The 9,619-nt window shown below is 45.4% G+C and overlaps 1 protein-coding gene across 2 annotated transcripts in view, besides 1 other annotated feature; it reads left to right on the top strand.

Annotated features, from left to right (window-relative positions):
• The window catches only part of PEBP4 (phosphatidylethanolamine binding protein 4), a 227,827-nt gene that overhangs the window by 63,450 nt on the left and 154,758 nt on the right, over positions 1 to 9,619 (top strand). The window lies entirely within an intron of this gene.
• Positions 4 to 73: a silencer, noted in NCBI's record as "silent region_19015". NCBI's record gives its function as "represses an Ori minimal core promoter by ATAC-STARR-seq in GM12878 lymphoblastoid cells {active_cell/tissue: GM12878}" and the evidence as "EXISTENCE:reporter gene assay evidence [ECO:0000049][PMID:35858748]".

Below are 9,619 nucleotides of genomic sequence, written 5' to 3'. Positions count from 1 at the left end.
GCTCAGCCCAGCCCAGGAGCCTCCTCCCCGCTGCCAACAGTGAGCCCGCCCGTGTGTTCACAAGCTGCTGGCCTCACCTCCTCTCCTCCCAGCTAGTTTCCCAGCCATTTGGCTACGGAGAGACAAAGTCAGTGCCTCCTGGCTCTGGCTGGCTCTGCCCAAGAATGTAGTACTTGGGTCGTGCTGGGCTACTGGAGTCAGGGCAAATAACCTGACATTTTGAAGGCACAAAAGTCCCAAGGACCTGCCAACCAACCAGGAGGTTGGTTTGATTCTGACCTCAGAATCAAAACATGGACCTGACGTTTTGATTCACAATAAGGACACGTAGCCCCATCATCTTTCTATTCCAAAGTCAGCTGTCCTCACCTGGACAACTGAGGACAGGGAGAGACTGGACAAAAAGGGCTCTTAGCCATTACAGTAGAAATGGCTGGGACACCTTATCCCTGAGGCTGAGGGCTGTTTGAGGATTCCCATTCAGCACAGCCTGGTTTGAGGAGGAAAGAAAAGACCAAAACATGGTGTCCACTTGATATGTTTATAAGGGTGGAATAAACTCCCTGAAACCCAAATCATAATTCAAATAGCTAATATATATGGAGTGCTTTTCTGATCCAAGCATCATGCTATGAAATGTACATTTCAGTCCTGGCAAAGACTTAATGAAGGAGGCACTATTAGCCTCATTTTAAAGATAAGGGTCCAAGGCCCAGAGAGGTTGAATAACTAGTCCAGCCTCACACAGCAGTTAAGGGAGAGGTTCTCCTTTCTACCCTGAACATTAACAGAAATGTGTTTACATTTTCTGGCTAACCAAGCCAGATTTTGGCTTTGCTCCAAGGAAGCTAATGTCCCACCTGAGAAGTAGCTTTGTTTAAACAGTGGAGAAAATAATTCCTAACTCATTTATTTACTTCTAATTTTACACTTCAAGTGCTGTTTATTTTCACAACAACACAAGCGCTATAAACATACACTGTCATCGATGAAGCACGTTTGTGAGGTGCCCCTGGGCTGCAAGTTGAGGTAGAGACAGAACATGTCATCACTGGTAGTGCCTTCATCACTGGATGGTGACCTCTCTCCTGAGTTTCTTGCTTTTCAAGTGCTCCCAAGTATTGTCCTGCCAACCCTCTCCTGGAATGAGGCCAAAAAGAAAATCCTGAGCACTGGAAGAATACGCTGGATACTGTCTCTTCTGGGTGGTTCATCCTTTCAGTCCTTCAACACACACTGGATGCTGTTAATTTCACCATGGGCCGTATGCACTGGTGATGCAGAAAGTGCTGAGATCTGATCTCCACCCTAGAGGAGGCTGGCAGAGCCAGTAGACACGCCACCGTTGTACGCATGGTACGTGTTAGCAGCTGCGGTAATAAGGGAAGAAGTGGTTGCAAAACAGGTGACATCTGTCGGCCAGGCCCAGTGGCTCACACCTGTAATCCCAGCACTTTGGGAGGCTGAGGCTGGTGTATCACTTGAGGCCCGGAGTTCTAGACCAGCCTGGGCAACATGGCGAAACCCCATTTCTACTAAAAGTACCAAAATAAGTCATGTGTGGTGGTGCATACCTGTAATCCCAGCTTACTCCAGTGGCTGAAGTGCAAGAATCACTTGAACCTGGAAGGCTGAGGTTGCAGTGAGCCAAGATCACACTACTGCACTTCAGCCTGGGCGACAGAGTGAGAGTCTGCCTCAGAAAAAAAAGAACAGGTGACATCTGAGCAGAATCTTGAAGCTAAAAATTCTAAATCTAGAAAGAGCATTGCCGGTAGAAGGAAGACTCAATGCAATACCAAGATCTGGAAAGACCAGGGTGCAAGTAGAAGTGTGGCTTGAGACTTCGCCGGGTTTCTGGACAGTGCGGGTGGGTGACGTGCTGGGTGACAGGCAGGAAGGGTAGGCTGGGGCCAGTTTGTGAAAGCCTTGGGGACTGGAACTAGACAACCTGGACGCTAATAATTCCCAGCTTCAGCCTTCGCAGACGACAGGGGACTAAGTCAAGACTAACTGTGAAGCGGGGTCCCAAGTGTTTACGTTAGAGACAAGAAGTGCCAAAGTTTGTAAGCAGTTTCCTCTTTTAATAAAAAAATAAAAAGGAGTGGGGCTCAGAACAACAGACACTGGGATCTATTTGAGGGGGAAGGTGGGAGGAGGGAGAAGAGCAGAAAAGATAACAATTGGGTACTGGGTTTAATACCTGGGTGATGAAGTAATCCGCACAACAAACTCCCATGACACGAGTTTACCTATGTAACAAACCTTCACATGCACCCCTGAACCTAACATAAAAGTTAAAAAAAGAAGAAAGGGGAAAAAGAAAATAAAAGGGGCTCACATATACATTATTTCTAAAATACTATCCTATGCGATTTCAAGATTAGAGAGAGGAAGGAGTGAGTTCCCTTTTTGTGAGCAGGGAATTGTGTTGAGCTTGCAACTCATCAGGCACCTGAGTCTCGGGGGCGAAAAAGCACAGCTGGCTCCGAGGGCTAAATTCATTATTTCACTAACGAGGCTGAGTCCTGAGGTGGCGAAGGAAAAGGATGGTCAGGCTGTGAGTATATGGGCTGAATGGAGAAGCAGAGAAGAAGTCACAGACCCCACCCAGAAAACAGGATGGGCAGGTAGACCACCAGAACCTCCATTTCTTAAAGCCCCAATGGACAGCTGGAAATTACTTGCCCCTGAAAAAAAATAATAAATTCCAAATTATCATTTCAATGGCTCTTCACATAAATACCAAAGAATCAGAAAAGCTGATGCCTCATGTTGCTCCCGGAATCTAAGAAATGGTATCTTTCAGTTATCGGATTTTCTTTGCAGCATTACATTTTATACATATTTATTCATGCAGAACAGAAGCGCTGCGTTATTGAGGCTGCCATAGGAGTGGAGGAAAAGCTGTTATACATAAGAAAGCACTGCATTTACATTGTCGCACTTTGCCACAATTGAACTATATGCAACTGGTTTTTTAAAATAATAATAATAAAAACCTCTGGTTTGCATTTAATTTGCTGACTTTTTTCTTTCTTACTCCTGAATTTTCATATGCCGTAGAAATACGAAAGGGGGGTTGTATCAAAATGCTTGAAGATACAGAGGGTTGGGGGCTGGCAAGAGACAGCTTTAGCGGGGAGGGTTTGAGGACCCACAGCAAGTTTATAACTATTTCTTTTTTAACGGATGCAGTTAACTGAACTGAGAAACATTCATCTTCCAATTTAATAACTCATTCTCCCTGCATGGAGGCAGGGGTATTATAGTGCGGGATATTGCTTTTCGGGCTTTTGAGTGTCAATGATGAATCCCCATCTTCTAATAAAATACATTTTCATAGTAATTGAAATAATAATTTTTTTTCCTCTTCATTTTCCCAGGTATTTAAACAGGGGCTTTCCACTTCTTTCCCTTTCCACTATTCTAACCTTATTTTCTTTTAACTGAAGTTCCTCAAGCTTTTGAGCTGCACAAGTCAGGGCTTCTGGCATCCGTGTTCTGGTGGCCTCCACACTTTCCCCAAGGCCCCAGCTGCGGGATGGGCTCCACACACACACAGCTAGTTAGGAAGACCAAGATGTCGAGACCTGGAATTTTTTGCTGGGTTTGGCTTTTCACCTCCATTTGCTTAGCAAACTGACTGCCCCTAGAGCTAGGGACAAATGTGGTAACCAGCCAGCTGAGGGAAGCTAGAGAAACAGGGAGGGGCTCCAATCCTACAAATCCTGAAGTTCACACACTGGGGGAACTCTTAAATCTCTCCTAACACCCCCAAGATCAAGATCTGGGACTCCCCCCGACCTCCCGATCAATATTCCACATGTACCCATCAAGCTGCAAGTAATCTCCCCAGGAATAAAAATGAGTATCGGTATGTTAAAGACAACATTAATTTCTCAAGCAGGCCATGATGATGTTACACTGAGTATAGTATGTTTAATCTACAGCTCTATTCACAGGGTTACTTTGTTCGATTGTTTGTTTATTTTTGAGACAGAGTGTTGCTCTGTTGCCCAGGCTGGAGTGCAGTGGCACAATCACGGCTCACTGCAGCCTTGAACACCTGGCCTTAAGCGATCCTCCCACCTCAGCCCCATTGAGTAGCTGGGACTACAAGCCTGTGCCACTAAGCCCAGCTAATTTTTTTTTTTGTACTTTTTCACACAGATAGTATCTCAGTATGTTGCCCAGGCTAGTCTCCTGGCTTCAAACAATCCTCCTCGCCTTGAGCTCCCAAAGTGCTGGGGTTATAGGCATGAGCCACTGTGCCTGGCCAGCATGGTTACTTTAAATGCTATCTTGGTGAACTTAACGTAAATGGAAAAATATAAAGTTGTCTCCTAAGACATCTTTTCATCGCATCCTTTCCTCCATGGCTGACAATGAAGAGAAAGAAGAAATATATAACTAAGACTCTAATGGGTTTAAAAAGACCAATGCAGGTGCAGTCTCGCCAATAACTGTACCAGCTTCGGGAGATTCTCCAGCCCCTTTCTCTTTATACTCACCTGGGGAAGAATGATTTTGGTGAGAATTTACTCAGTTTAGGCTGTAATTTAATTTTGCCTATAAGAATCTTCCCCTTTCTATGTCTAATCTTCCCTGATCTAGTAAAAAGACCCTGGAAGTCAGGAATCAAAATTTAGGCTGGGCGTGGTGGCTCATACCTGTGATCCCAGCAGTTTGGGAGGCCGAGGCGGGCGGATCACCTGACATCAGGAGTTCGAGACCAGCCTTGCCAATATGGGGAAACCCTGTCTCTACTAAAAATACAAAAATTAGCTAGGCGTGGTGGCGCATGCCTGTAGTCCCAGCTACTCAGGAGGCAGAGGCAGGAGAATCACTTGAACCCAGGAGGCAGAGGTTGCGGTGAGCCCAGATCACGCCACTGTACTCCAGCCTGGGTGACAGAGCAAGACTCTGTCTCAAAAACAAAAATTTTAAACCAGTTTTACCTAGAAAATCAAAGTAGCTAAGAGTAAACAGTCAGGAAGACTTAAAACCATTGAAGGCAGTGCCTTCATCATTTAAGGTATTGGAAAGATCACTTTTCTGCCTCTTCATTTTTCCACGTACTGAACAAAAGACTTTCATTTTCTTTCCCTTTCCCCTGTCCTAACAGAAAAGGCACACATGGCCCTGGCAAGTCCCAGAGAGCAGGTTCCACTGCACAGGGCTGCAGCCAGCATCCTCAGCACCTTCGTGCAAACTGCAAAAAGGGGTCCTGTCTCTTGGCCTGATTCATCCCTAGGCCAGGAGGTGTGGCTTGGCAACGGGGACAGGGTCTGGATTTTAGTCACCCTCTTGCCTGAGGGCCACTGTGCAGTACACACATGACTTAACTCTACTGACAATGGATAGAGTTAAAAAGACCCATGTCCAAATCCTGACTCCACCATTTTCAAGCTACTTGATTTCATACATATATCATAAGAATGTTATAGGCCAATGAGCAGCTAAAGAAAATATGGTGTATACATACCATAGGATACTACCCAGCCATGAAAAGGAATGAAATAATGTCTTTCACAGCAACTTGGATGGAGCTAAAGGCCATTATTCTAAGTGAAATAACTCAGGAATGGAAAACCAAATATCATATGTTTTCACTTATAAGTGGGAGCTAAACTATGAGGATGCAAAGGCATAACAGTGATATAATGGATTTTGGGGACTTGCGGGGGGAGGTTGGGAGTGAGGGATAAAAGACTACATACTGGGTACAGCATACACTACTTGGGTGACAGGTGCACTAAAATCCCAGAAATCAGGGCAGGCGCGGTGGCTCACACCTGTAATTCCAGCCCTTTGGGAGGCCGAGGCGGGTGGATCAGGAGGTCAGGAGATCAACACCATCCTGGCCAACATAGTGAAAACCATCTCTACTAAAAATACGAAAATTAGCTGGGCATGGTGGCACGTGCCTGTAATCCCAGCTACTCAGGAGGCTGAGGCAGGAGAATAGCTTGAACCAGGGAGTTGGAGGTTGCAGTGAGCCAAGATCGTACCACTGCACTCCAGTCTGGCAACAGAGTGAGACTCGGTCTTAAAAAAAAAAAAAAAAAAAAATCCCAGAAATCACTGCTAAAGAACTTAACCATGTAACCAAAAACCACCTGTACCCTAAAACCTATTTAAATAGAAATAAAAATGAAAAAAAAAGAATGTTATGGGGACTAATTATGATAATAGATGTAAATCTCTTAGTACAGGACGAGGAGCTAAATCTGTAGTGACTATTATTATTCCAGAGAGGTCTTCCTAGGTCCTTTAGTGCCCATGGGCAGAAATGAAACTACATTTCCCACAACAGTGATGGGGGTGCAAAATGTGGGCCCAAGCCTAGAGGGGAACTGTCCTTAGGACAGAACTGCTGTCAGAGAGAAACCAGTAGGTTGTTTGATGTTCGCTTCTAGACAGAGGCTGGACTCTTGCTCCTGCTTTCCGGGGTCACCTATCCCAGCTCTTCCTGCTTCTTTTTCCACCCACCCCCGACCCCTCACCCCCAGGGCCCAGCAGCATTTCAGTGGATTAAAGGATCCTGCTTCACCCAACTTTGGGATTGGGGGTCAGGCGTAGCAATAGGAAGTCTTTCTTTTATTTTCCTGGGTTGAGCAGGAAAGAAACAAGTCCAAGTGCATCTGTAGAGGATCCTCCAGAACGTTCCCTTTCCACCTTCATCAATGGCCATCTTTGATCCTGAGAATCTTGAGGTGAGGGTTGCTCCAAAACAAAACCCCTTCTCTGGCAGAGGTCCCAAGGGCTTCTCTGGATAGGTGAGAAGTAGCCATTTAGAGCCTGCAGATCTACTGTTTGAAAAGACCTGTGGCCCATTCAACTTTTTCTCAATAGACTTTACTTTTTAGAGCAGTTTTTGGTCCCCAGCAAAACTGAGCAGAAGCTGCAGAAAGTTCCCACATACACCCCTGACTCCTCCCATTCCCCCACTCCCCACCACTCACTATCAACATTCTCCACCAGAGGGGTGCATTTGTTACATTTGAGGAACCTACATTGACATGTCATTCTCACCCAACGCCCATACTTTACATTAGGTTACGCTCTTGGTGTTGTACATTCTATAGGTTTAGATAAATGTATAATGACAAGTCTCCACAATTGTAATATCATACAGAGCAATTTCACTGTCTAAAAATCCTCTATGCTCCACCTAGTCATCCCCTCCCTCACTCTTGACCCCTGGCGACTGCTGATATTTTACTATCTCCATAGTTTTGCCTTTTTGAGAATGTTGTATAGTTAGGATCCTACCGCATGTAATCTTTTTAAATTGGCTTCTTTCACTTAGTAATATGCATTTAAGATTCCTCTGCGTCTTTTCATGGCTTGGTAGCTCATTGCTTTTCAGTGCTGAATAATATTTCATTGCATGGATGTGCCATGGTGCATTTAACCATTCATTGACATTTTGGTTGCTTCCAAGTTTTAGCAATTATGAATAAACATCTGTGTGCAGGTTTTTGTGTGAAGCCTGGATTTGTTCCAGGCTGGCTGGTGCAGGTTTTGTGTCTTGAAACCTAAGTTTTCAAGTCCTTTAGGTAAATATCAAGGAGCATAACTGCTGGATTGTATGCTAGGAGTATGCTTAGTTTTGTGAGAAACTGCCAAACTGTCTTTGAAGGCAGATGTCTCATCTTGCATTCCCACCAGCAATGAATGAGAGTTCCTAGGGCTCCACATCGTCATCAGCATTTGATGTTGTCAGTGTTCTGGATTTGGGCCATTCCAATAGGTGTATAGTGGTATGTCATTGTTGTTTTAATTTGCAATTCACTAGTGACATATCATGAGCACCTTTTCATATGCTTCTTTGGGACCTGTATATTTTCTTTGGTGAGGTGTCTGTTCAGATCTTTTGCCCATTTTTTAATTGGGTTATTCATTTTCCTATGGTTATGTTTTCAGAGTTCTTTGTATGTTTCGGATCCCAGTCCATTATCAAGTATGTCTTTTTCCATGGGTATTTTCTCCCAGTCTGTGGCCTCCTTCAGTTTTGTTCCCTCTTCTTGTGTGTCCAGCAGATTCACAGCTCCTTATGAAAGAGGTGCCCAAAACAAGAGCAGCTATGGGGGAGCATGGCTTCCTGGGGAAAGTCCATGAGCCTGTAACCACCTTTCACTTTGAACCCACATTTGTTTATTCTTTAAACACTTGCACTGTGCCCGGCACTAAGTCCTGAGGACGCATCTGTGAAGGAACGAGACAAAGCCCCAAGTCTTGTGGAGCTCACTTTCTGGTAGGGGAGACATACACAAAAATAAATAAACAAACATAAATATATATAGGGAAAAACATACACAAGTATACCATACAGCGATCTGGAACCCAGTCCAGTGTAAGAGCAGAACAAGGGAGACAAGAGGCACTGGCACAGGGGACATTTACAACATAAATAGGATGGCAGAGTGGACTTCACTGAGAAAGGGATATTTAAGCAAAGAGGATGAAGATGGAACCAAGAAGGCAGAGAAAGAAGGCAGAGGGGCCAGCCAGTACAAAGGCCATGAGGCAGGGGAGTGCCTGGTGTGTTTAAGGAACTGCAAGGAGGCCAGTGTGGCTGGAATGAGTAGCGTGGAGGAGAAAGATGTAGGATGATTTTGGGGTGGTATCTGCAGATCCTGTAGGGTCTGGTGGCTTTTGCTCAGAGAGAAATGGGGAGCCATGGGAAGGATTTGAGTAGAGGAGCGAGATGACCTCACTTAGGTTTGAACACGACTTCTCTGGCCACCATGTTGAAAACAGGCTGCCCAGGATGCCCAGATGGAAGGAAGGAAGGAGGCTAAGTGTGATAATCCAGGTAGGAGATGACAGAGGAGGTGAAGTCGGTGAGACGTGGTCAGATATTGAGCCAACAGCATTTCCTGCTAGATTCGATATGGGGGTGAGATAAAGAGGAATCCTAGATGATGCAAAAATTTTTGACCTGAGCCACTGGAAGGACGTAGTTGCCATTAGTTGAGAGGGATAGGAGCAGGTTTAGGGGTCAGGGGGACATGTTTTGTTTACACTGTTTGACATCCTGCTGGAGAGGTCAGGCACACAGATGTTGGGCAGATGGGTTTAGAGTTCAGGGTTGTTTGTGTATATGAAATTGGGCTGAGTTCTGTGGGGAATAAAAAGGAAAAATAAAACCCAATTCCTCCCACCCCTACCTCTACCCAGGACTTACTGGGGAGTTGGAGAGAATGCAGGCAGGCAGCACACACACCGGGCACACCCAGAGGAAAGCAGCTTTTCTGAGACTCCCTGGAGGCTTGAAAGCAGGCGAACAAATCCAGGCTACCAAAAATCACACTGAAGAGACAATCACAAAGACAAATCCCCAAACACCTTGACTGCTCACTACTAAAAAGCAGTAAGAAGAGAAAACCAGGGGGGTGTTTTCCCGTCTCCAGCAGCAAAAGCATAGACATTTCTGACCTGCAAAGATGCTCACAATGGCTCCTCATGGTCTGTCTTCCCTCTCTACTGACAAGGCAGCTAAACAGAGGGGGACCCAACCCCCAACATCTGGGGCAGTGGCTTCAACTCTGTCGGCAGCCACTTATCAAACAGCCAAATCTACCCTGGACCCCTGCCAGCCGGGCTGGGC

Source organism: Homo sapiens, chromosome 8, assembly GCF_000001405.40.
Source record: "Homo sapiens chromosome 8, GRCh38.p14 Primary Assembly".
In the NCBI taxonomy this organism is placed as follows: Eukaryota; Metazoa; Chordata; class Mammalia; order Primates; family Hominidae; genus Homo; species Homo sapiens.
Note: the sequence above shows the minus strand (reverse complement) of the source record. Positions and strands in the feature narration are given on the sequence as shown.